This window comes from Homo sapiens, chromosome 19 (assembly GCF_000001405.40).
Source record: "Homo sapiens chromosome 19, GRCh38.p14 Primary Assembly".
Lineage (NCBI taxonomy): Eukaryota > Metazoa > Chordata > Mammalia > Primates > Hominidae > Homo > Homo sapiens.
Window position 1 is genome coordinate 31,287,316 of NC_000019.10, and position 27,131 is coordinate 31,314,446.

The 27,131-nt window shown below is 48.3% G+C and overlaps 1 protein-coding gene across 5 annotated transcripts in view, besides 1 other annotated feature; it reads right to left on the bottom strand.

Moving 5' to 3' along the window:
- TSHZ3 (teashirt zinc finger homeobox 3) overlaps window positions 1-27,131 on the bottom strand; it is a 201,002-nt gene that overhangs the window by 137,440 nt on the left and 36,431 nt on the right. The window contains exon 2 of one of the 5 annotated variants that reach the window (NR_138034.2): window positions 21,026-21,394. The exons of the other annotated variants lie outside the window; for them this stretch is intronic. The gene's annotated coding sequence lies outside the window, so the exon portion shown is untranslated. Of the gene's footprint in view, window positions 1-21,025; window positions 21,395-27,131 lie in introns of those variants that run through there. 5 annotated transcript variants of the gene reach the window in all.
- Window positions 1,483-1,983: an enhancer, noted in NCBI's record as "H3K27ac hESC enhancer chr19:31779704-31780204 (GRCh37/hg19 assembly coordinates)". NCBI's record gives its function as "activates a minimal SCP1, AML or CMV promoter by ChIP-STARR-seq in naive H9 embryonic stem cells {active_cell/tissue: H9 hESC(naive)}" and the evidence as "EXISTENCE:reporter gene assay evidence [ECO:0000049][PMID:30033119]".

Here is a 27,131-nt window from a genome sequence, read left to right on the forward strand (position 1 = left end):
TTTGCTGGCTAAAACTGTTTATAGATTCCTTTTCCGCATGTCTTCTTATTACGGATAGCCCAGAAGAACACCCCTCTTTGCAATGAGTGCCTCTGGTCATCCATCCATAAGGAGCCCTGTGACTGTGATGGAGGAAAGAGTAGAGCCAGGAGGGAGAGGAAGAGGCAGGGAAAGGAGAAGAAAGGACCGAAGAGGGAAGGGGCCATCAAGTCATCCAGGGTTTGAGAAGGGGTCAGAGAGAGAGGAGGGGGCCCAGCAGAGAGAGGACAGAGGGAGAAAGAGAGATGGGAGAGGAAGAGAAGAATCCACTAGGGCTGGCGTAGGGGAGAGAGAGGCCACCAAAGGGCATGGGAGGTAGGAATGGAGAGAGAGAACACAGGTAATGGAGATTTGAGAAGAGACAAGGACAAAAGAGGTTATTTTCTGGAAAGGACTCTATGACAAAGAGGGCCTGGAGCCTGTGAGTTCTGGTACAGAAGTGGCCCTCAGGATGGCCACCAAGGTAAAAGAGGATGGACCTAGGGGAGCCGCTATGGGTCCATTCCAATGCTGGGGCCTCCGGGCCTCCTTTCCTCCTGCTTCCCTGAATACTCAGATTTTCAAATGACAGAGGGTGATTTCTTTTTCTGTTTTTTTTGAGACAGGGTTATGCTCTGTTACCCAGGCTGAAGTGCAGTGGTGCAATCACAGCTCACTGCAGCCCCGAACTCCTGGACTCAGGCCATCCTCCCACCTCAGCCTCCTGGGTAGCTAGGACTACAGGCACTAGATACCTCGCCAGGATAAGAGTGCTTTATTGTTTTTTGTTTGTTAATCCTTTTTTTTATTTAAATAATAATTTAACTAGCCGAAGGGGATGGAGGAAGGATGATGGCTTGGGAAGGTGGCTGTCAGGTGTGTTTTCCCAAGCAGGCTCTCCAGGACTCATGCACACCAGTCTCTGCAGACCCTCCTGCCCTTTCCTCAGAGCCAGAATCAACTTCAACACATGCCTAAGCCCTCAGCAGGCACGAAGTCCTCTTCTCTGCTGCAGAATGTGCTTGGACAAGGAAAAATGCCAAGAGGCTCACAAGGCATCTTGACCACTTCTCACTCCCCACTTACCTGCCTTCTTCACACTTGGGCCCACAACAGAGCAGACCCCAAGGAAATGGCAGGAGGAGACAGGAGGGGACAGTTCAAAAGCCATAGCAACCCAATGTGGAGAGCCGTCCAAGAGGGCAGTAGCTGGACTCTGGAGAGGACCTGCCGATTCTCTGCTCTGTCGCCCAGCCTGGAGTGTAGTGGTGTGATCATGGCTCACTGCAGCCTCTAACTCCTGGGCTCAAGTGATCCTCCCACCTCAGCCTCCCTAGTAGCTGGAACTACAGGTAAGCACCACCATGCTAATTAAAAACAATCTTTTTTTAGAGTTGGGGTCTTGCTGTGTTGCCCATGCTGCTCTGGAACTCCTGGCCTCAAGTGATCCTCCAGCGTCGGCCTCCCAAAGCACTGAGATTACAGGCTTGAGCCACGGAGCCAGGCAGGATCTGCTGTTTCTGCATTGGATTTTTCTCTGGGAAACAATGTGATGTTAGGCAGGGAGGCCCTGGGTCTCAGCTTCTGCCCTGCCATGGATTAGTCCTGTGGCTGTGATGACTGACTTCACATCTGTGAGCATCAGTTTCTTCATCAACAAATGGGAGGAAGGAATGGGAAGATGCAACTGGCCACATCCGCCTCCCAGGTGTTTGCAGGCAACCAAGGATTTCATAAGGAGTGGGCATAAAGGACTTTTCTAAGTTAAAGAAACTCTGCAAATAGAGGTGCACCAACTGCACAGGGGCTGTGCTCCACACAGCTCCACACAGAAGGCCTCCTGCTGTCGGGAATCTGGGAGGCACGGCCAGGGGATGACCCCTAGGCTCACCCCTCCTCTTGTAAAGGCCTCTGGGTCTCCCAGACCCTCCATGCTGACCTCATCACAAAAGGAGGAGGTGGGGGGACAAGCACCAAGCCCTGCTGGGGTGAGAGCTCCCACTGGGGCTTGGGTTCTGTCCCTCCTCACTCTGGGCAGCCTTAAAATGGGGGCTGCAGAAAAGGAAGAAAGCCAGACAGAAAAGAGAAGAAAAAGGGAGGGAAATGGAGGGCAAGGAAAGGAGGCAAGGAAGGAAGAGATGATGTCAGAAGCACGCCTGCAGCATTAGTGTTCCTGACCAAGCACAGCTCTCCTCCCCGGGCCCCAGCCCCTGGTAAAGGAATTCTAGGAAGGTAGCGGGCAGGACCATGGATTCAGTCCCGCTCCATCCCACTGCATGGATCTGACTGGAGATCCCCAGTGCCCCACTCCCAGGGGTGGGGTTCGGAGCCAGATGCCCTGCAGCACGGTTCTGGCTGGGGCGGCACCTCAGACACTGGCTCTCAGATTGGCTGCCACTGTCCCTGTAGCCCCTAGCCCCCAAGCTGGGCCGCGTTCTCCTCCAGGCTGAGCCCAGACCCCATGTCCGCTGGGCTTCTGCCTTGAATCACCTTCCTCTGTGTCAGGGAAAGAGCTCAAAGTCCCCAGAAAATTTCACCTAAATCTCAGCTTATTCTCAATACACCTGGAAAATCTGGATGAATTGATTCATTTGACAAAAGAATATCTGCTTGACAAAGGACTCATGGAAGTGCCTTACACGCTGTGCCCCCTGGGTTATGCTTATACAGGGCTCTCTGCTGTACAAACGTGCTGCACACCTTGCTATGATGAAGCAAGGGGATCCCCTTCTCAGGGGAACCACACCTGCCATATCAGCTGTGTCTGACGCCACCCGATTTAGGGCCTAGAGCTATCCCCAGATGTCCTGAGGTCCCACACAATGGGCTGCTCAGAAGCAGCTGCCCCTAGACCTGGCCCAGAGCCCTGGTGGGTGTGAGGGATAGACAGACAGGGAGGAAGCTCAGGCCTGGATTGCCACTAACCAAACACATTCCCCCTGGCCCTCAGAGAACATGACAAATCAAGATGGAGGTGCACCCTCCTGGCTCTTGACCGGGAGGGGCTCAAAGCAACAGTGTGAAGGCAGGACTTCCTTTTTGTGCAAACAGAGAGAGGAGATGGCAGGGGGAAGTGTGGGATGGAATGGAGGGGGCTTAGCTAAACACACACTGGGGGGTACCAATATGCTTGGATTGCATGTTGGGCTTCTGTCTAGTTATTAAATAAGCAGGGAGAAAAAAAGGGTTCTAGAGGACTGTTTATACCTGGTACCGAGGAGGTGACAATTCAGTGGGGAACACAAGTCTTCTCCATCTATCCACCTGGGCACCCGGAGTCACCTAGAGACGCTACCTAGGATGATGGAGGTCATGGCCTCTAGGGACAAAGAGAAAATGGCATTCTTGGATGGTACCAGGGAGACCAGGGGCCTTCCAGGCATCGCTGCTGGGCTTTGGAGCTCCCCAGAAACCAGGGGAATACCCAAGGGCCAGAGGATCCAGAAGGGCATGGTTTGGCTCTGGGGGAAGGAAAAGTGGCTGCAGCTGTAATGGCCAGGACTTCTGCAGAAGGCTGGCCATGGCGGGATGACAACCTCCCCTAGATTGATTGCTCTTCCCACTAGCAAGGTCAGGAATATTAATTTTGTACACGCTAATTTGATGTAATGTGTGAGATGAATGCTTGTTCAGTTGGGTATCCCTGTGTTAATAAAGCTGCAATGCTTTCATCCCAAGAAAAGCATGGCATTAGCTGATTGGTGAATAAAGTCAGTGTGAATAAGGAAACACCATGCTTTAGCACAGCCCGAGTGGCCAGTGGTGGCGTAAGCCAATGACAGGCTGCGGCTGCTCCTCTAGGGAACCCATGGCAACGAGGCTTCCCAGAACACCTCCTAGCTGCTGGAAGCCCCAGCCGGTTCAGAAGACTCAGAGCCCAGGATGAGTCCTGTTCCTCCAGCGGTGATGGGAAACAAGAGTCCAAGAGTTCCAGAAGCCAAACCTGGGGCTCCCAAAACTGAGTTAAGAAAGACACTGCCTGAAGCTTCTTTCTTTGAATTCTTGCTGCAATGAAAGAACCCCATTGTACCACCGTCTAGCAGCTCCTCCCCAGAACAATCTCCCTCCCTTCCCAGCACTCTTCATGAGGGGGATGGCTCAGAAAAGGAGGAGGCCAGAACGTCAGGAAGCTCTCCAAGATCAGAAAGAGAAGGCAGCTTCCCTGTCTCTACAATGACTCTCTTCCAATGCCTTCTGGGGAGCTTGCTCTGCTGCAGTTAGGGCACCAATCCCAGTACAAACAAAAATAAATGTATCAAGGAGGCATTCACAGGACAAAAACCACTGCCTCAGACAAATCTTCAGATAACAAAGAATAAATAAATACTCACTTTGGGGACCATCTGAGTCACCTACTGTCCTTGGCTTCAAGCACATTTAAACTGACTGGGCATCAAACCAATGGTGGAAGCCCGCACCTGTCTGCTGTCATGGGGAGTCCATACACTCACTCTGTGTGCCCTGGAGGAGTGCTTCACTGCTGAAATCACCTTAATCCATTTAAGCTACAGGGCAGAGTCATCATTCAGCCAGCCCGGTGCTGGGCCCATATCTGGGTTGACAGCAATCAGTTTGTCCTGGTAGCCAGCGACGGTCTATACAGTGAAACATGGCTTCCGGAGCCAGGGTGCATTTTTGCAAGACTGGTAAAGGAAGTAAGCTGCCTGTGGGTGCCGTATTCCCATTCCTCTTTGAGTTCAATACATTTCCAAGCACACTGCCCTCTCAGAATAAAGAATCCAGGGTCTGAACCTCTTCCCAATGTCCTTTTTACCTTTTATTCTACAAAAGCCATGAGGTAAATCCTGGCCTATATTGGATCCAATAAATTAGAAGAGTAACTTCATCCAAAGAAAGGATTCTCTCATCTTGGTGGAATAGGAATTGGGTAAATTATTAGGGGCAGGGGATGTGCTTGACCTTCTCAAATTGCATACATGAGCAGAGGGATTCTCAGGGGGTAGCTGATGTCTTTAACAAGGCAGTTCATTGAGGCAGTTTATGGAACCAAGGAACTCTTGCCTGCCTATACACTTGGTGATCTAAAAACCTGGGAAAAGCACAGTTGAGAATTGGGCAGCAGGCTGTGAAAATTTGGGAACAGTCCTTAAAATGGGCCTCTTCAGGTGGCTAAACATGTACAACTCAAACTGTCACTGGGACTTGCTGGCTTTCCTCCAAAATACTAAAAGAGCTATATCCAAGGGGAAGGTAAATGGATGGCTAACATGAGATGGGAGTTAAGATTTACATGGAAGACGAAGCAACTGATTCACTCAACACATCTACCCATCCACCCAGCCAACCCTCCATCCATCTACCCATCCATCCATCCATCCATTGAAAGACTTATTCATCTATCCATCCAAAAACCTATCCATCCAAAACCCATCCACCCATCCATCCATCCATCCATCCATCCATCCATCCATCCACCCACCCATTCATCCATCCAAAAACATATCCATCCATCCAAACACCCATCCATTCATCCATCCATATATCCCTCATCTGTTCATCTCATTCTTCTAGCCATCCCAAACCCATCCATTCAAAAACTCATCCATCCATCCACCCATCCATCCAACCAAAAACCCATCCATCCAACCAAAAACCCATCCATCCAACCAAAAACCCATCCATCCATCCATCCATTCAAAAATTCATCCATTCAAAAATGTATCCATCCATCCAAAAATCCATCCATCCATCCATCCATCCAAAAATGTATCCATCCATCCAAAAATCCATCCATCCATCCATCCACCCAAAAACGTACCCATCCATCCAAAAATCCATCCATCCGCCCACCCACCCATCAACAACCCAAAAACCCATCCTTTCATCCAATATGTATTAGACACTAATTATATACTCCAGATGCTTTAGGGTTAGGAATAAGTAAACAAAGTAAATAGCTCAGAATTACAGGCTATACTTTTATGTACTCAAGGTGGCCTTGGTTAAACACAGAGCACAAGGGCATTAGAGAATCATACATCTGCACAAATGTCTTAGCTCGATATTCAAAGCCCAGGTTAACCAAGCCCCACTTTACCTTCTATGTTTTATTGTCCACTGCCCCCTCCACACACAGAGATGCTAGTCTTCCCTGATAACTTTCCTTTGATCTTGCCTTGATTGATGCTGTTTCTTCCATTTTACATATCATGCTTGGTCTTTTCACATTCCCCTCCCTGTCCTCCAAGGTCCTGCTCATTCCATGTCCCCCAGGAAGTCCTTTCTCACCTGTCTCATTGAAAGTGATCTCTTTAATTTCTGTGATGAGACAATGAATGGAAAAGTCCCCTCTAAACTCTAAAGCCTACAGAAATATAAGAAATTATCAGCATCATTGTATATCTCTTCTGGCATTTATCTCTTGTAGTTTTAGAGTCGCTGATCCTGTGCATAAATTCTCTTTCCATATACACTACAGGAGCATTTCTTACCTCTGTGCCCTTTGCATGGCCTGGCATGACAACTGTACTCAGTAACTTCTGGTCCAATTCTTTTAGTTTGGATGGCGCTGCTTAGGCTAAGAACCAACAAAGACCAAGGGTCACTTCAGGTAGAAGTTTCCACCACCTTCCTCAACGGCTCTCGAATGCTGGGCTGAGAAGTCCCACGTGCTCTCTGACTTCCCATGCATCTCTTCATTCCTCATTCCCACGTCACAGAACAGAGACACTCCAGTAAGAACCAGGGCCACCAGGGTATCTCAGTTCTGGCGAAGTTCCTCATCTTATGACCACAAGGAAAACTTGGAGAGAAGATGTTCCCAGTGACCTCAGAAAAGTTTAGCCCTACCCTTTCTGCACTGAGCACCTGCATGGTAGCCACCATGACTAAGTGACCTTCTTAAGGTCTGTAGCACTGCCTGCATTGAGCCAGGACTGATCCAGCATTCAGCCAGCATTGACACAGTATTCAGCCAACACTCAGCGAATTCTCATCCAGGACTCAGCCAGCACTTAGCCAACACTCAGCTAGCACTCAGCCAGCACTGACCCAACACTCACCTAGCACTCAGCCAGGACTCAGCCAGCCCTGACCCAGCACTCAGCCAGCGGCACTCAGTCAGCACTTAGCCAGTACTCAGCACTCACTCAGCACTCAACAAGCACTCACTCAGTATTGACCCAGCTCTCAGTTAACATGCACCCAGGCCTCACTAGTGTGCATGTGAACACTGTTTGGATGGACAGTGAAAAAATCATTCTAGCCTGCTTGAAGGAACAAAGGTAATGGTCAAATGTTTCAATTTTTAAATAATTTTGACTGACATATACATGCCTACAGATTTCAACCTCATGTCTATATATTAAAACAGCTTTTCTCCAACCAATATATAATCTATTGACTGGTTGGCATCACAATATATGTTTCCTCTTAAGTATCCCATCTCACATTTTTATATTGACACTTATATAGTCTGAGTTGGGTGTTTCTTATGCTAGATCAGGAACCCTTAACACCTTACCATCCATCACAAGGAAGAGAGACAGAAAAGAGAGAGAGAAAAGAAACAATATAATAATGAGAACAGCACTCTCACTAACTGGTTCATGCCTTGCTTGCCTTCTTGTGGAGAATAATTTTGTAGTATATATCAAAATTGAAAATATCTACACTCTGACCCAGATAGCAATCTTTACTACAAAAACATTCATACATCATACATAGCCCCTCAACAATAACAAAAAAACCCCTCTATGATTAAGGGTGTTCTCATCAGTATTTCTTAGAATACCAAAGAAGTGAATAAACAAACTAAAGTATACCCATATCATGAAATACTATGCAGCAACTCACAAGGACGATAAGACAGAGATACCAGTGTCAGAGAAGATACGGAACACTGGAACTTTCCAGTACCAACTGTTACAACCATTTTGAAAATCTGTTTGTCAGTATCTACGAAAGCTACACTTACACATACTCTGTGTGACCTGGCAATTCTATTCCTAGATCTAGACCCATTAGATGTGCATATGTATTTCATCAAAAGACCTGTACGCTGATATCCTTTGATACGCTATTCACAACAGCAAAGCAACTGGAAAGGATTCAAATGTCTACCACCAGTAGAGTGAATAAATACACAGTGTCCTGTCCACATGCTAGAGTGCCATGCCACAGACAAAATCAACTGTTATTCAAAACAACATGGGAGGATCACAGCAACAAAATATTTTATGAATTCATTTATGTAAATTTCAAAATCAGGCAAAGCTCACCTGTGGTGTTAAAAGTCAGGACAGCAGTTACCCTTTGGAGGTGGTGGCTGGGGAAGGGCTGTGGAAATCCTGGAACACGAAATGTTCTGCCTCTGGACCTGGGCCCTGGAGGCACAGGTGTGTTCACCTGGGGAAAATTCCACCTACACTTATATTCGTATGCTGGCCTTTTTGTATGTTATTCTGCATAAAAAGGTTCTTTAATAATAATTTCAACTTTGGGGTTCAGGGGGTACAGGTACAGGTTTATTACATGGCCATATTGTGTGATGCTGAGGTTTGGGCTATGATGGATCCCATCACCCCAGTAGTGAGCATGATATCTAACAGGTGGTTTTTCAGCCCTTGCCCCTCGCTTTCCCCCACTCCCATCTAGTAGGCCCCAGTGTCCACTGTTCCCATCTTTATGGCCATGTGTACCCAACTGCTTACAAAGTTTAAAAATAATGATAATTCTCTAATTTCTCATATGAGGAGATCTCTAAGACATAGCAGAAGGTAGGAAAAGAAAATAAGTCTCACAAACACAAACATGGGTCTCTGTTTTCTGAGCAAGTTTGTGTGTGTGTGATTGTATGTGGGCACCCAGTGAAATAATCCTGGCCTGGATATTAGCAGCTGTCCTGCAGATGGAGGAGGCAGATACTGTTGTGGGGAATGGCATGGAGAGAGGAAGGGGAGGAAACGGGTGCCCTTCTGCACCGTCTGGAATGTTCACAAGCACACCTTCATGAAGTGCTGGAAGTGCTGTGAATTTTTTTTTTTTTTTTTTTTTTTTGAGACGAAGTTTTGCTCTTGTTGCCCAGGCTGGAGTCCAGTGGTGTGATCTCGGCTCACTGCAACCTCTGCCTCCCGGGTTCAAGCGATTCTCCTGCCTCAGCCTCCCGAGTAGCTGGGATTAAAGGTGCCCGCCACCATGCCTGGCTAATTTTTTGTATTTTTAGTAGAGACAGGGTTTCACCATGTTAGCCAGGCTGGTCTTAAACTCCTGACCTCAGGTGATCTGCCCGCCTCAGCCTCCCAAAGTGCTGGGATTACAGGCGTGGGCCACCTTGCCCAGTTAGTACTGTGTCATTTTGAAAGTTATAAAGGAATTTTTATTTGTAGCATGCACCTCCTGTGTGTCAGGCTCTATACTGGGCACCGTCAGCCTAGAAGACACAGTGCCTGGTCCCAGGGAGTGGGCATTTGGGGCTGCATGCCTGGGAGTCAGTGGAGAGTGGGTTCTGGCACTGGGGGTCAGTCACAAAGGAACAGGGGCCTCAGGTGCCAGCTCCACAGAATGCCAAAGGGCCTGGGACAGCTCTCCAGCCTCTCACCTTTGCTCTCTTCCGTGGCAGCATTCTCAGCATTCTAGGTGAAAGTGTCACCCACAGTGACAACAAACTATGGGAAAACAGAGACATAGGCAAACTATGTGCTGCAGTCCTAATTTTGACCTCAGTGGGAGCGGGAGGTGGGAGGCTGGAAGGGTGTTGGGAAATACCCAAAGCATCCAGGGGGCATAGCACCCCTAACCACAGGCAGGGTCTTGTCCCCCATTGTGGGAATCAGCGGGTTTCAGGTCTGTCCCTTCCTTTCAGGTTCAGGCTTGTTGTTCGAGGCCAACTGCCTCCTCCACTGGGCACAGTTCTCAGCTCCCCGCATCCCCTCAGAGGATCCCTCCTGCGGATCACGTCGCCAGCATTCCCAGGTCCCTGTGGTGGACTACTCGGGGTAGGCGTCTGTGTGGCAGGCAGGACAATGGAGACAGATGTGCAGTGAGACCTCTCTGGGCCCCACCCTTCTGCTGTGAAGACTGAATAAGATAACTACCAAGAGTAAGGGTAGCTTATTCCCTTCCTGTCTCTTTTTTTTGCCCATTCCTAAGAACTGCAGAAAGTTCTACAACCTCGATTTTCTAATTTTTTATTTTTTTTAAGAGACAAGGTCTTGTTCCATTGCCCACGCAGGAGTACTGTGGTGTGATCATGGCTCACCTGCAGCCTTGAACTGATCCTCGTGCCTCAGCCTCCCAAGTAGCTGGGACTACAGGTGCACACCACCACGCCTAGCTGATTTTTAATATTTTTTTTGTAGAGTCAGGGTCTAGCTATGTTGCCCAGGCTGGTCTTGAACTCCTGGCCTTCAACTCCTCAGCCCCTCAAAGCAGTGGGATTACAGGCATGAGGTGATGCACTTGGCCTGAACTTTCTGCTTCTAATGCAAGTGCTCTAGAAACACACAGGCTTGGAGAGGACACTCAAAATAAACCAGGATAGGTACAACCCCCACCCATTTCAGCTGCCACTTGCTTCCCTGGCCATCCCTGCCCTAATGCGTACTCACAGGTCCAGTGGTTATGCTCCTAAAACCCAGCTGTGAAATGCTCACCCTCTGCAGAGAGACCTGCTACTGGATCAGCAGACATTTCCTGAGAAAGGGTCAGTGGGCCACCACCTCGGGCGCAGGGATAGAGCTGTATGGAGCTCCTGCGGCCTCCTAGGTCACCTGTCACTCCTCAGGAGGTGCTCACGGACCTGTGAGATTTGTGTCTCTTGGCTTCCCTTGCACCCAGGGAAGGCCACTCTAGGGCTGCTCATGTGACCAGGAGCATTTCACCTCCCACAACCCAGCTGATGTGTCACATGACCAAGAGCTTTGCTGTCCCCGCCATCCAAAGCCCATTCTTCTCACCTCTGCATCCCCATAGCCCTGCAGAAACCCTACAGCTAGGCAGTCCCTTTTTCCCAGTGGGCTGGGTAGGCAAGGGGGTCCCAGCCCTCCCCATACAGAGCAGAGGGAGGGCTCTGCACAAGCCAGATACTCAGTCAATTTCTTTGAATTAAATCAAACTTTTAAATTAAAAGTTGACCCCATAGAAGAGCCGACTTCATGCTTGTTCTTTTTGTTTGTTTGTTTTGTTCCATTTCCTTGAGACACTTCGGCACCAAGCAGCATTTCCGTAAAGAATTAAAAGCCCAGAACCAATTGTGGATGCACAGAAGCCTCCCATCTACCTGCAGCAGTACTGTCTGGGAACGGTCCTGGCCCATTTTGTGGGGCCTTGCACTCCTGGGGGTACCTTCTGCACATGATCGCTGCCCAGCTATAAACCAGCCCGAGAAGGAGCGAGAGCCGTCCATGGGCTCCATGTCATGGATGAAGAGACTGACGCTTAGAGAGACAGAGAATAGGGGATGAGGACACAGAACGAGGACTGGAATTGGGAAAAAAAAGCAGCCAGGGCTTTTACTGCTGGATCTCACTGCCTGTCTCCAGAATACACGTTTAAAATGTACTACTTAAGAGTGAAGAAACCGAGAGAAGGTCTCCTGATTCTTTAAAAGCGTGACACACAGCTGGGCACGGTGGCTCATGCCTATAATCCCAGCACTCTGGGAGGCCGAGGTGGGTGGACCACCTGAGGTTAGGAGTTCGAGTCCAGCCTGGCCAACATGGAGAAACCCTGTCTCTACTAAAGGTACGAAAATTAGCCGGGCGTGGTAGCGGGCGCCTGTAGTCCCAGCTACTGGGGAGGCTAAGGCAGGAGAATTGCTTGAGCCCCAAGGGCGGAGGTTGCAGTAAGCCGGGATTTCACCACTGCACTCCAGCCTGGGTGACAGGGCGAGACTCCATCTCAAAAAAAAGTGTGACACACAACCGCATGGCGACTCTCTCTGACCGGAAAGGACAGTAGGCTGGAGTCCGGCCACGCCACCTTGGCAAGGTGTGCTTGGTGAGTCTGTTCATCTCTCAGCCTCAGTCTCCCCACTTGAAAAATGGGACAATATCATCACCTCCCTTGGAGGGCACGGGGAGACACAAACTATGCAAGGTAGATAAAGCAAGAAATGTCACACGTGTAGCAAGGGTGCCCAGAACCCTCTGCTGGTCGCAATTGTGGGATGCGGGTGTTTTTCTTCTTGATCAAGAGGGAAAGTCATTTTTATTTAATCTGAAAATACAAATAGAAGGGCCGCTTTCTGGATGTAGCAAAGCCTGAAAGTCCATGAACACCCTGTGACAAGGTTATGGGGTGCAGGGGAGAAGTCGGGCCCTGGGTCAGCATCCCTTGACCATCATGGATTAATCTGCCTGTGCTCCAAAGGTCCCCGTGTCCACACATAGCAAGGGGGCTCAAACGCTGCCTTACAGCTGTAAGACTCCTACTGTGCAAAGTTCTCAGGACCAAAAAGAAAAATTACTTCGGGGGTCTCTCACTGACTGGGTCCGGGACCCAAGTCTCTGAGGCTCAGGGCAGCCCTCTCTGTTGGCAGCCTCTTGGAGGGGACAGTAGGAACACTGTATCATCGCCACTGTGAACACAGAATGTCACATGAGCAAAGACACTTGTCAAATGCCTTTCCTTTACACGCACCCTCACCATGACCTGTGTTAATGAAGTTAATTGAATTTAAGATCAATAATGGTTAATTATTGCAATTTGACATTCAGAGATAAATGGCTTTAAGACAGAGAAGTATGTGTGTATGTGTGAGCACGCGAGAGAGTGTGTGTGTGTGTGTGAATTCTCTCCAAAGAAGGTGAATGCATTACAAGCCTAAGAGGGATCCCACAAGCCTTCCATTGATTCTGGTACATTGTGATCGACTTCATCCTCTGATAAATGTGGGCTTTTCAGAGCTACAGGTAAATGTTCTACGAGACTACTCTAACCCTTGTCACTGGCCAAATCTATACGTGCTGTACACCAGAAATCTATTGAGATAGATTAAAGAACTGCTGTAGAAACAAGAGCAGCTTCAATAAAGGTGAAGGTTTATTATATTGACTATTAATGTAACTTAACTGTATGCAGTTATGAATGCTTATAGATCAGGGCAGTTTAATTTGGGGCAGTTGGATATGATTATAATTGAACACAAATTTTTTTTATATCACCATAGATGAACTCAATTCAATGTGGACAAAAAGAAAAAACCAACCTAGCTTGGAAAGTAGCTAGGTTATAACCAAAGGGTGAATTCCTAGGGAGGGATGGCCCCAGGAGAGCTGGCCCAGGTCCAGGCCTCTCTAACGATGCACTCGCCGCACCACCTCCTGCTCCAGGTCCCACAGCGTGCATGGAGCTGACGCCCCAGCAGTCTACAGTGGCCCCACAAGCCTGGGGTCAGGGCTGCTAAGTGGCTCCTCTGATTTGATCCAAATTGGTAAGAAGTTTAATTTTCAGGAGAGATTCTCGGTAGGAAGTCACAGCCCCAAATGCATTAATAATGACACTCCTCCATCCACCCAGAACCAGCTAGATGACCACTTACAAGATTGATAATGACAAAGTAAATGTTGTCAGGAAGAAAGTCCTACTGATTGCGGAGCACTGACAATACCGTGCGCCTGAGGAGTTCTGTCAAAATGTAAGATTATGCAAAAACACCGTTGAGAACACTGCTAATCATCTGCTTGTGTCAATTACTTGAAGGGTCTCTGACAGCATATTTACATTAAACACATTTCAGGAGCAAAATCCTTAATGCTATATCAGAATATTTTTCATTACCATTAGCAAATCTTTAAAAATCGTTTTTTCCCCCCTCGGCTACAATAGGAGTGATGGTGAGACAGGGAAGGCTGGGTGGGGGCCTATGTGGGTGGAGTGGATTGCGGGGGATTTCAGTTCATCCCTCTGCAAAGAAGCGGGTGGTGCAGACTCAGAGATGGGGCATCCCCACCACGTCTCCCTCTCAGGGCAGATGACAGGGCCCTCTCTCATCCCAAACACCTTCCAAGCCCAGTGAACAGCAGCATTGGTTTTCTTCCTGTTGGTGTAGCCAGCCCCACACATCTAATGCCAGGCTATTTAACAGAGCAAATGACAGGTGTACAGAGGCAATTATTGAAATTAAAACTTAGATGACATCTGCTGGGGCTGTGCACTCAAACACCTCGCCCTGGTCACGCCGTCTTGTCCACAATTATGGCAACATGGACATAACCAAAATAAACAGCCCAGGGCCTGCAGTGGCTGGGCTGCCTGAGACATGCCTGCGGGAAGGCACTGGCCCTGTGCTGGGCATCGTCATAGAGCAGGAGACACCCCGGCAAAGGGATTCCGCAAGGTCCACCCTCAGGCCTCCCATGGCAGGTCAGAGAGGGTCGGGTCAGAAGGTGTCTGAGGTGCTTGGAAAAATACATCCGGATTTTTCCGGACATGTTTGCCAGACATGACAATCATACTTACCATGGTGATGATGGCAGCCAGCATGCTTCGATTTTTAAAATGTTTGAGCACTCTGCTGTACGTTTTACCTATGCTGCCTTTGGTAAGGCACACCAAAGGCCCCTCATACCCACCCCATGAGGTCCACAGGTGGAGACACTGTGTCCCAGATACACGTCTGATGAAGTGGAAAACCGGCATTTGAACTCAGGTCCCTAGGCGCCTGTTACATTCCACACCCTGGACATCTTAGTTCTAATGCTTGTGAGCTGGCCCTCCAAGATCCCAGCCCAGTCAGCACCTGAAGACATTCCTTACACTCAGAAACGCAGGCAAAGGGGCCCTTACATAAAGTTTGTAAAGCCCCAGCACCACCTTAATGTGGCAAAAGAGAGAGCCATGGTGCTGAGCCATCTGAGACTGCCACTCACAGGGCCTCTCCAGGTCTAGGGTGCACAGGAGTGACCCCTCAGTGCATGAGCTGCTGCCAACACTTCCCAAGGGCTCAGAGGCCCGGAGCTGACCCTCCGCCCTTGTGATCCGTGCCCTGGAAACATAGAGCCACAGACTCTGCCCATGTCCAGGAAGAAAGACAGCACGGTGTGTGAATGGGACATAAGACTCCACATCATCTCCAACCTACTCAATAAGAAATGCACCATACATGCAAAATCAGAAAGTACTCACACCTGTTCATAAGTGGCCAGCCCAAGGAATCCAGTACTTGTGGTCATTTTAGAAATCTGTGTAAGTTACATGAAAATTTAAAGCAAAATGCATTTCTTTTAAGAAATTCTATATTCTGAAAGTTTTGTTTTCTAAAATCTGTCTCTTGCCATTCCAAACATACAGACATTTCCTCAACTGACCTTTATAAGTGTGCTTTTACTTTTACCTTAAAATACTTAAAAACTACACACATACAAAAATAGATATGTCTATATATAAACACACACATATATATGCATTTTTCCTATCAGAGTGTGTAGGTTAAAAAATAATGCAAAGATGCCACATTCATCCTCAAATTGCACTTCCATATGGGAAGTGAGATGTATACTGAGGAGACCACAGTTCAAAACAGGAGCATCTGGAAGCCAAAGGGTCTAGCTCAATAAGGCCAAAATTTAGGGTGGATTCAGCATGGCCCATTGCTTGCTTGGTGGAAATAAGATGTCACAGGTAAACAACGTGGCTTGAGTTCATCTTTAGTTTTAATCTAGATTACATGTACATGTATGTGTAAACATATACACATCCTTATGCTTATCCATAAATGCATAAACACACGCCCATCCACATATGCACAAATGGACCTCTGAATGAATCTGATAGCCCTACAGAGTCATCTTTCAAATACGTTTGAACAAACAACTCCAAACAAAGCTACACCAAATGAATGAATATACTGGGCAAAGGTGGCCCAGGCTAATGGGTGGGGTTGACAACATCAGATTCCTAACAGCCAAGCCTTCACTCCGGCAAATCGCCCCCCATCTCTCTGGGAAGAGACTGAAGATGGTGGAGCTGCTGACCCGCAGGCCTGAGTGTTGTAAAGGGACCTTTCTCCACTACGCTAAGGAATACGCCCGGGTCTGCACTGCGACATTGGTCGTGCTGCAACACAGGACAGAGACGGCAGCCTCTGAGATGGCATAGACCTGGCTCACCGGAGACGCACTTGGTCCACATAGGCACCCACAGTCACCAAGGTGGAGGGCTCAGCTCATGATGGCATGGACCACTTGACCTGCACGGGGCCTGCACAGGGCCCATCTGGCACCTGACCATCTCGGTGGGGTGGCTGAGTGGACGGAATCACTCAAGCATGAGGCACAGAATCACTCAGGAGTCTGGTGGGTGCTGGTACAGGCTCTCATGCCCCGACCCCGCCCCATCTTCCTCTCTCCTCTGTTGGCATTTCTTCCCAGCAAGGTGTCAAGGCCTCACAGGCCAGATTTCTAAAACCCCAAAGCCCACAAGTGACAAAGGGCACTGGCAAAAAGATGGCACCCGCTGGCTGCACTGTCATGGGATGAGCCATCGGCTGGTGCCAGCAGAAGCACATGGGTCTCAGAAAGACGGATTTTTTTGCAAAGATTTTATTTTATTCAAAATAAATGCTAGCTACCATTTGGTGACATGGATCCTGACTAGGGCCAAGTGCTATTCCAGGGCCTTCCCAGCACTAACCCACACACCCTCCACAAGGACTTCATGAAGTCCTCACTCTTTTTTTTATTTTCATTTTTTTTTTTTGAGATGGAGTCTTGCTCTGTCATCCAGCCTGGAGTGCAATAGTGCCATCTTGGCTCACTGCAACCTCCGCCTCCCGGGTTCAAGTGATTGTTTTGCCTCAGCCTCCTGAGTAGCTGGGATTACAGGCGCGCACCACCACGCCCAGCTAATTTTTGTATTTTTAGTAGAGACGGGGTTTCACCATGTTGGTCAAGCTGGTCTCGAACTTCTGACCTCGTGATCTGCCTGCCTCGGCCTCCCAAAGTGTTGGGATTACAGGCTTGAGTCACGGCGCCCAGTCCGAAGTGCTCACTCTTACAATTTGCCTTTCACAGTTGAGGACTCTCAGAAACTTGCTCAAGGGGACTGGGCAAGCAGGGCCAGGACTGAGGCCTCACTGTATGCCTGTGGCCCCCACACCCATAACTCTTCCTCTCCACCTTTCTGGGGGCCCTGCCTCTCCCTCTGCATCTTCAGCTGTTTAGAAAAAGAATCTCCCTTCCCCAAACTGTCAAACTGGGACCATAACAACAACAACAACAAAAAATTAATCTTGAGTTTTTAAAATATCAAAACCTGAAAATGTATAATTAAATTAATCATCATAAATTACTTTTTAGCACCGAGAGTTGGATTTATAGTATCATTTCCAAACCTCTCTGTGAGATTTAAATATTTTATAGCATATGTGAGTTAGAGGGAAAAGTGTCTGAGGGCTTAAATATTGCTGCAGAGCAGTAGACTTTGACAAAAACTATAGCACAACTGTTTCTAAGGTAGTTTGTAAAAATTATTTATTTCCATACCAGTTAATTATGATGGGAGTCTTTGTTGAATGCACAAGCATTAAAAAAGTGCTGATATTTTATGCATCTTTAACTGGAGCGCGATTCCCCGCAGCGCACTGGTAACTCCTTGACATTTAGCATTCACTCACAGCAACTGTAATAAGGGGTTTGATTGCTTCCTTTGCAGACGCAGTAATTTAATAACTGTGATCAGTTGCATAAATTTACTATACAACCATCTTAAGTTAGCCACATTAAAATTAAGCAAAATTGTAATCTGTTGACAGATTATTGCTACTGAACAATTCTACTAAAAGCATTTCAGATTAGCAAGTGCCACGAGCATTTGTGTTTTATAAGCTTGTAAAAAAATACGGCAGCTTCCTCTTTCCACATCCCCATCTCCAGCCACCCCCTCTCCTGCCACCCCCTCCACACACACACCACAAATCTGACTATTAGGCAATTTCATGAAATTCTGTGCTTTCTGTTAAATCACCTCTGAACTGTTGATTTCGTTATTTGAAATGTGTGTGGTGAATTCTGCTGTCTGGAAAGGAAAAAAAAAAAAAGCCGCGTGTCAGTTTCTTCTTTCTTTCTTCCCAGTAATTTCCTTTATGCAACTTTACATCCATTGCCTTTGAAGGGACAGGAAACCTCCTAGCATGGACCTCTTCTGAATAAAATGATCAGTTCCCCAGAGCAAAGGAAAAGCACTAATTTCATACCTTAGATGGAGAAAGGTAAAAGGTGCCCGGCTCCCTCTGAGTGAGATCCCTGCAGCAGGCATCCTTAATTAAGGAGACAACAGAGAAGCCTTCTTGCTTAGTTGCTAAAGAACCCCTTATGGAGTTTGTGGATAGAAAGAGAAGAGGGCACAAGTTCCACAGGCAGGCTTTACCTAGAGCATGGTGATAAAGAGAGGAAAACAGCGCCCCTGCCCACTCTGTTTAGAGCAAAATGGGACCCGCATCTCCTGCCTGGTGCCCTGTGAGTTGACTTTTCAGAGCAATGTTTAGCCAAGCAGGCAAGTCAGGAATAACTGTTTCTGATACTTCCCAGCAAATATCTTTAACCATCTGTTTACACTTGCCAAATATGCTTCCAAGTTTCCAATTTTATCAGTATATAAAAAGAATATCTGTTTTTAAAAAAAATCGTAAATATCTTGTGATGCATCTTTACATAATTCAAGAGAAATTAAAAAAAAATTTCACTTGAAAGCCAGCATGATCACAGATTTGTTTAAACTTTCATTTACATAGAAGTTTGGGGTGGGAGCCACAAAAAGGGGGTAGGCGCTTTTTTGGAATGGTCAAATGTCAAAGTTGAGTGCCAGGCGGGGAGTGACGCACAGGTGTGCCCTCCCCACGAGACGACGGCACACCCACCGTGTGCGCTCATTCCCGGGGTGGCCTTGCATATGCAGCCTGTCACTTCAGATGGAGTTGCGGGGCCTCTCCCAGACAGGTGACGCGGCGGGCTGGGCTGCGAGCTTCCTTCGGAGCGAGGACCACTACTGAGTGTGACAAATTGGATGGGACTTCACTACCAAATTTCCTGCCAAGAGGCCTAACAGTCAAATGTCTATCTTCTTCTCATCACCAAGAAGTGATGCTACGACTTTGACATAGTGTCTCCGTTACTTAAAGATACAGTTAATGCAAAGTGATCGCAAAACGTGAGGTCTGTAAAACTTTTAAGAGCCAAGCAAAGGCGGCTTCCATCATTGGCTCTTTTATCTTGAGAGGGCACACGTGCACGTGCGTGGGTGCGCATGTGCACTCATGCATGGGCGTGTGTGCGTATGTATGCGTGTGTGTGTATGTGTGTGTGTAAAACCAGAATTCCTACCAGGCAGCACAGAACCTGGGTCTCTGCCATTGCCACCATTACCTGCCATTTTTTATAACATAATACACTGGAGATACCCTGGGCTAGGTTTGTTTGCTTCTAATTATAACTAATTATGCTTCTAAATATGTTCTTTAGGGTTACACGTGTATAAAAATGGAGGTAGGAAGAAAGAAAATGAATCAGGATTATTAAAAGAAAGAGAAACATACTAATTAGTTAGCTAGTATACTCATTTCAATGTTTAATAATATTTTTTAACATTCCAGCATACGCCGCAGAATTAAAAATTACCACAGCACCACCTGTGCGTCCCCTGGGACATGAAGATTTAGAGTTCTCTCCTGCAGACTTGGAGTCCTCCTTTCTAAATATTTCTTTGACTATTTCTTTGTATTCCACCTCATTCCACCCCCACAAATTAGAAGCCAAAAAAAAAAAGATAGTAAATTTTGTTCCCCACCAAAGCCTTGTAAATAACATCTCTACAAAGCCCAACTTAATTACATAACTCAAGTGCTTGAGGAAAAAAAAATGCATCTATTCCCATAATTTTGGAAGCTGCCTCTACCCGTTTCTATATGTGCAGACTGCACTGGCTGTGTAAAAAGCCAAGTGCCCGCCCTGTTCTCTCAGCCTGGGTAGGAAAGAGTGCCATTGTACCCCTTCATTTTTTTTTTCCATCTGCTTAGTGCTCCCCCTCCCCATGTTCTGGGAAGGTTCTGGGCTTTGTGTGGCCTACGATGGGGCCAACTGCATATGGCTGGGGAGACGGGAAGATGGAGCGGAGCTGAGAGTGTCAAGAAATGCAGGAGTGATGACATGAGGCCCGAACCACCCTCTCACCTGGAAACAGCCCCACCTCCTCCACCTGAGCAGCACGCGGCACGGGGCTGGTGTTCCATTAGGACCCCACAAATAAAACCGCGTGATGAATGGCAAAGCCAAGGGTGCCCCCCAAGCCTCTTGGGCTGGCTTTCCTCAAACTCCACTTCTGATTGTGGGTCAGTCGTACACAAACAAAGCCTTAACAGAAATGTTACCGAGGAAATAATAGCCATTTCCAATGATAATACACAATTTTAGCACTGACGCTTGGCTGATTTAGGTGTTCGGCCAATGTGTCAAGCAGCCTGCCTTCCTTAGGCGGGCCTTTAATGGGTAACTGGCAGGCTCTGGCAGCCTTATTTCTGTTTTAGATTTGGTTTGTCATTGGGTATCCATTACCTGCCATTCATCTTTGATCTCTTTGGACAGGCCTGATCAAAAGATGTCATTTGACCTACTCCACTTGGCAGAAACTTGTATGACTCTCATAAAGGGGCCACCCCAGCTATAAATAAAATGACATTATTATTTTTCTGTCCTATCATGTAGAAGAGACAATTATGATAATGCAGTGTCTGTCATCGGGAGCCCAGCAAATTGCTAGCTCTCACGCAACTGTTTAGCTTTCTTATTTGTTTTTTGTCTGTTTTCCTCCATTTCAAGTTGAAAATAAAGCAGAATTGAAATCCCTAATGTTCTGCCTCCCACTCCAACAGTCTCGGGGCTGCTTCCCATGGCAGTGACGTGCAGGTGTGGCCAGCAGCTTGTGTTTGTCAATGGTAGGTGGTGGCTATGGCTGTGCTCGCCAGGCATGAACAATGGGATCAAGTTTGTCCTTCATTTAATGTTTGGAAAACAAGCTAATCTCTGAAATTAGAACTGAGAGATATTACTGCAAATAGATAAAAATCATGGCAAGGGTTTATTGTGTCCTTAATCAAGTCATAATAAGGGAAAATGCGCTGGAACATTCCCCCGACAGGCAAAATAGAGACAGCTCCGGTGTCATCGCCAGGGAGCCCACAGCTTGGGGACACAAGGGTCCAATTGTTTGTCATCGTCTCCAGCGTGGACCACCACTAAGGGCTCCATTTCTAGGAGACTGGCTCTCGATCCTTTTTGGAAATGGAGGTTTCGGAGCTCTGGGGTTTGCTTCCTTCCCAGGTGTTTTAGGCTCCACAGGTACACAGGGGTAGTGTGAAGAGACTAGGGCAGCACGTTCTCCACCCACCACGTGCTGAGAACCTCCACCCAATTGATGCTCTTGTCTGGAAAGAGAGAAAAACAGGGACACACCGTCTAAGACCCCTGCTGAAATCCTGGCTGTGTCTGCTCAGATTCAGATCATCCTAGAGATAAGGAAGTGACTCCTACAGATGGGCTTCATTTGAAATGAGAGAAAATGAGGCCCCAAACAGAGGAAAGGACTGACCAGAGGCACCACGAGGCGTTCATAACAGAGCTGAGACCAGATTCCACGCCGCCTAACTTTTTGGTGGGGCCCACTCGCCATGACAGGCCACCAGCCTGCCGTCCTCCCCAAGGCCGGCCCAGGAGCTCAGTCTTCTGTGAGCCAGTGACCACCGTGCTGTTGGCCCCCAGGGCCTGCCTACAATGCCCAGCTGCCTCTGCAACATGGGCTGCCTTGAGCTTTGCTTGGTGTGAAGATGCACACCGTGGTGTTGCCCGCCACCCCTTGCAGACACAATGCCGGAAGGCATCGCTTTGTACGGGGCCCTGGGTTCAGGACTTGGGGGTCCCTATGGTCTCTCAGTGCTGCCATTTACCCACAGGATATGGGCTAACCCACCAGGGTGCGTGATGTAAGAGGGTAGGTGGTAAAAGGACAGAAGGATGAAAGAGAGAGAGGGAGTAGATTCGGAATTCCTTGCCTGAAGGAGGAACATGGCCTCTAGCAGGCGTAGATGGGTGGAGCCATATCTTCTGCAAAAAAAAAAGGACAAAATACTCTACAGGCGCAGGAACCCAAGCCAGGGCAAGTCAATCCCCGCATGGAATGGAGACATCAGCATTGAGGCTCTCTCAGTATAACATATGACACTCATTTGAGGAAGAACACATTCTCGGCATTGGGAACCATCAAGTCAGCAAGAACAAATATTCCAGATTAGCACAGGGGTCAAGAAAGGCCTGGAAACAGGCCCCGAACTAAGAAACCAAGGTAGGTAAATGAAACGTGCGGATAAAGCATGGTACTTTAGTCATCCAAACTTGCAAAGCATTAAATAATGTGGCGCAAAGAGGAATGACGGCTCCTAAGACTGTTGCAGGAATATTATTCCCTGAAGACTCAGCTGGGGCATCTCCACTTTCAGGAAGCTGTCGCCAGCTTTCTTTCACCCCCTGGGATGGCCACGGCATCCCTCTCCATGTTCCCATCCTGCTCACGGTCATTTCCATCATGGTACCCACGTCAGAATTACGTGCATCTGAGTCTCATCCTCCACACTCCAACCCCCTTGAGGACTGCCTGTCTTGGTGTCCCTGGCACCTGCCAGCACTGGCTTGAGCAGGTGCTTAATAAACATCTGCTCAAATTGTTTCAACACATACTCCAGTAGCCTGGTGCCCTCGGAGGAATTTGTGATGATGGGAAAATGCATGCAAGTATGTTTTCCTTCCTTGAGTTTGAGCGACATCTCCTTCCCATCCCTGGAACTGTGGGGCCCATTCATTATGTTGTCATGTTGCCCCATCTGCTAAGCCTCCACTCGGTGTCTCAACCTTCTCATGTCTCTTCCCTACTCTGGTCCCAGGTAATGAGCCTCTTTCCTCCAAGCTGCCTCTCAATGGACCAGAAGTGAAGATGAAGAGTCGAGTGACCCAAAGCAAAGAGTGTGGGGCAGATTAGAGGAGAAAAACCACAGTCTTCCTTCATCTTCCTAGGAAGATGTGAGGGTTTGGGGGCCATTCCACATGCATTTCCTTTTCTTTTTGGTGCAGCACCGATCCTGTGCACTGGTGTCCAGGGTGGTCTGCAAGTATCTGCTGCATGGATGAATGGATGAACTCAGGGACCCACTGCTCAGGAGAGAATCCCTTCCACCTTCTTAAAGGAGATGCAGTTCCACCAATCTATGACAAGCTGGAGGCCACATTCCTCCTTCAGGCACAGAATTCAGAATGAATGCAGGGAAAGGGGTGGGCAGAGTGCGGGCTCTGTGTGATGCATAAGTCACAATGTGAAAGGACACTAGGACCTCACAGGCCTAGGTCCATCTTCTGTTCTGTCCTGAGCCACAGCAGGACTTGAGCAAGCTACAAAACCTCTCTACGTTTCTGGTTCTTCCCTTTAAAATGAGAATGAAAGTCCTCTCTTTTAAGAATTGTTGTTAATGGAATTATGCACATAAAGCACTTAGCACCATGCCTGGCATGTGGCAAGCATTCAGTAAAGAACAGTTATTTTGGGGTTACAGAAATTAGAATTTTCCATCAGCAAGGAAGATTCCTGCAGTGACAAGGCCAGGATCTCTAGGGCGACATTTCAGCCCCTCACTGGGCCCCACCCTTGCAGCTGGAAGGATCATGCAATGTCCAGGAAACTCCTGCCTGTGCCATCAGCTCAGCCTCTTGAGACCAGGAAGGGAGGTGGTGCCACCTGGTAAGGTGGCAGCCAAAAGGCTTTCAGCCACCCAAAATTCTCTCTCCGTCTCAGGCCAAGGGTTTCACCAGTAGCAAGTCAGACAGACTCTGGGCTAAGCACTGCCCTGTTTTAGATACTCTTATAAAAAGCAGATAAACTTCAAGCAAGTTGGGATGGAGGGGTCTGAAGGCTGAAGGGGGTTATTAATCCACCTAACACTTTGGTTGTGGATTTATTCATCAGCACTTCCCCTATAGCCCACTCACCCCCAACAAATCCTAGGACAGATCAAGAGCATTCGTGTCTGGGGAGGCAGGAGAAGCTGGGAAAGAGAGAAACAAAATAGGTGCCAATGTGCTGCTGAGCTCTGGCCTGCCTCCTGTCACAGGACCTTCTTGGGGTGAGTCTCGCCTGTGGCCTCCGACTGCACAGGGTTTGTTCCTTATGGGAAGGAGACGTCTTGGTCCTACGGAGTCCTCCAGTACATGCAGAGATGAAGCAGAGGACAGAAGGTGCTGCACTGTGAAGGGAACTTGCCCCTCTGCCCAGCTCACGGGCTCCATACTGATCAATGCTCAGGGGGCATGGGTGGAACATGAGGACTGGAAGATGAGAATCCCGTTTAGGGTCCATTCACTGTTAGGGTGAGAGATCTTTGAGCAGAGCCACCCCTCTTTATTTGTTTGTTTATTTTTGAGAGAGTCTCTCTCTGTTGCCCAGGCTGGAGTGCAGTGGCACTATCTCAGCTCACTGCAGCCTCCACCTCCCGGGTTCAAGGGACTCTCCTGTCTCAGCCTCCTGAGTAGCTGGGACTGCAGGTGTGCGCCACCACGCCTGGCAAATTTTTGTATTTTTAGTAGAGATGGGGTTTCACCATATTGGTCAGGCTGGTCTCGAACTCCTGACCTCCAGTGATCCGCCCGCCTCAACCTCCCAAAGTGCTCGGATTACAGGTGTGAGCCACTGCACCCGGCCAAGCCACTCCTCTTTAAATCCTGGCTTCTCCATGTCATGGCCTTTGAGTCTCAGTTTCCCCATCTGTAAAACAGGCATGGTGACACCAATGTTTCCCAGGGTTGCTAGGAGAGGAGCACTGGACAAAAAGAGTGTTTTGCAGGCTGCTCTGTGCTGTGCACACCACTGCTGAGAAGAGGCCCATCTTCCCTCCCACGGCTGGAAACTATGAATCAGCAGATGCTGGCTTAGGTCAGAGAAATAAGCACAGAACCACAAAAGAAGGATCTAGAGCTATGCTGTCCATGGGGCTAATGACTGTGTTGTCCATGGGGCTATATATGTTTAAGTTAATTAAAATTAAACAAAATGTAAAGTTCAGATCCTCCATTGCACTCATCACACTTCCGATGGGGTAGTCCTATCGGACAGCTCAGGGCAGCAAATTCCCATCAGAGCAGGACACTCCATTGCTGGCTGGAGGGGACTTCTCCTGTTGCTTCCTGAACCCCTTGGCTTCCTAATGTCCTCTCTCTTCCTCTTTAGAAAAGACACTTTCCTACAGAAACAGTTATTAACCCTTTTGGGGCTTTCAGGGCCCCTTTGGGAAGTTAATCGAAGTCAGTGTTCGCTGAAATCCAGAATCTTTCAGAGTGTGGGAGGAGTTCCACCGGTGGTACAAGAAAATATGAGGTGGTTCATCTTGAATCACACGGTAATAAATTACTCCCTTGTCAGTTCCATCTTTTTCCCTCTGATTGCTTCAAGGAGAAAGTATCCGGTGGGTGCTATTGGTCTTTAACACCTCCCCAACACTTGCTAATCCCCCTTTTTAAAGAAGAGAGATAAGGCATTAGACTCCGGTAGGAAGGCAAGAGAATTCAGCTAGGATTTAATGACATTGTTTGATTTCACGGCGTTTATTTTTATGGTTATTTTCCCTTTATGGCAAGTGATTCTGGGTCTTCATTTATAGGAGTGACACACTTTCCTTTTAAAAATAAATTTATTTGAGTTAAAACGTGTGTAAACAGTAAGTTCAGGCAGTGCATGTGGTATGCAGAAACGTCAAACAGCATGACAGGTTTGGGACTCAGGATGCCAAACCTGCTTGGGGGCAAGGAACAGTCACAGAGGCTTCCAGAGGAGACTCTGCGGGAAGCCCCAGGTGAGGGCTTTGCTCTGCTACCAGCGTTTGCTGTTAGCATTTCCACACCCGAGATTTGGAAGGGAATTTGTCAGGTTTCTATTAAAACCTCTGAATGTCCAGTTGGAGGAGGTAGTGGTTATTAAACCTCAATGTTCATAAATATGCTAATAAAAATGTAAAATTTGCAGTGAGCCATTATCAATCACAGACAGGATGCTCCACCTTTGAACGATGGCCCCCATGCCTGGCTGCTGACCGGGAGCTGGAAGCCAAGTGTGCACCGCTGGAGGGCAGCGAGGAGTCTGAGCTACATGCCTGCCACGTGCGGATGTGGGCACCTGGCAGGGACTAGGGTGGCCACGCTCCTGGCACTGCGTACCACCTGCCTGTTGGGCTGCGGAAATGGTTCCTGTCCCCACACATATGCCAGTGCCTCTGTGAGGGTGAGGCCCATCCACCTCTCCCAGACACCCAGGAAACAGGCAGCGACATGTGACATGTGAATTCACCCTGAGTTTGGACAGATTGGTGAGAGTCCCCTGAACAACGAAATGCATGGCCGTAGCCATTCAGCAAACGAGAAGGATCCTGGGACTTGAAGGATCCCTGCTCCTTGCCCTAGAAAGGCCCCATCGGAGCCAAGCCTTTCATAGCCATGCACTACCAGAAGTGGGGTATTATCGAGAAGGGTATGGCACTGAGAGTCCGGGTACCTGCATCCTGGCACCGACACTCACTTACCAGGCTGCAACCTGCAGCACACAATTGGAAGTCTTTGCGCCACAGAATTTCACTTGTAAATCAGGTAATACCTTCATCTCGGGTAATGACGGTGAGCCTTTCTCTCTGCCTGCTTCCCAGGTCCACATTTGGGAAAGGCAGGTCAGACCCCCTCGTGCCTGCCTCTCGAGTGGCTGTTGGGCTCACCGGATGCAATTGGAAGATGCTTGGTGGATGATGATGACATGATGACACAGGGTTGCCTCCCTTGTCCCCTAGACAACCAGAAAGGATGCCTCCTTCCGGCTTCTAAGGCCAGGACTAGAGGCCTTCTTTCCCTACAGTCTGCACGAGAGATGCTGAGGCCAGGCCCCAGCCATGCCAGCCTCCTTTGCCAAGCACTGCTACATGCAGGCAAGGGTGTTTCCAGAGCCATGGGAGAGAGAGCGGGCGGCAGGGAGGCATGGTCGGCCATCACTGCAATCCTGAGAAGCCACATGGGCAGCGGCCGGAACCGTGTCTCACCTGCACGGTGGGGCTCTGCCTGCACCCCTGCTTCTGCACAAGTCCATCC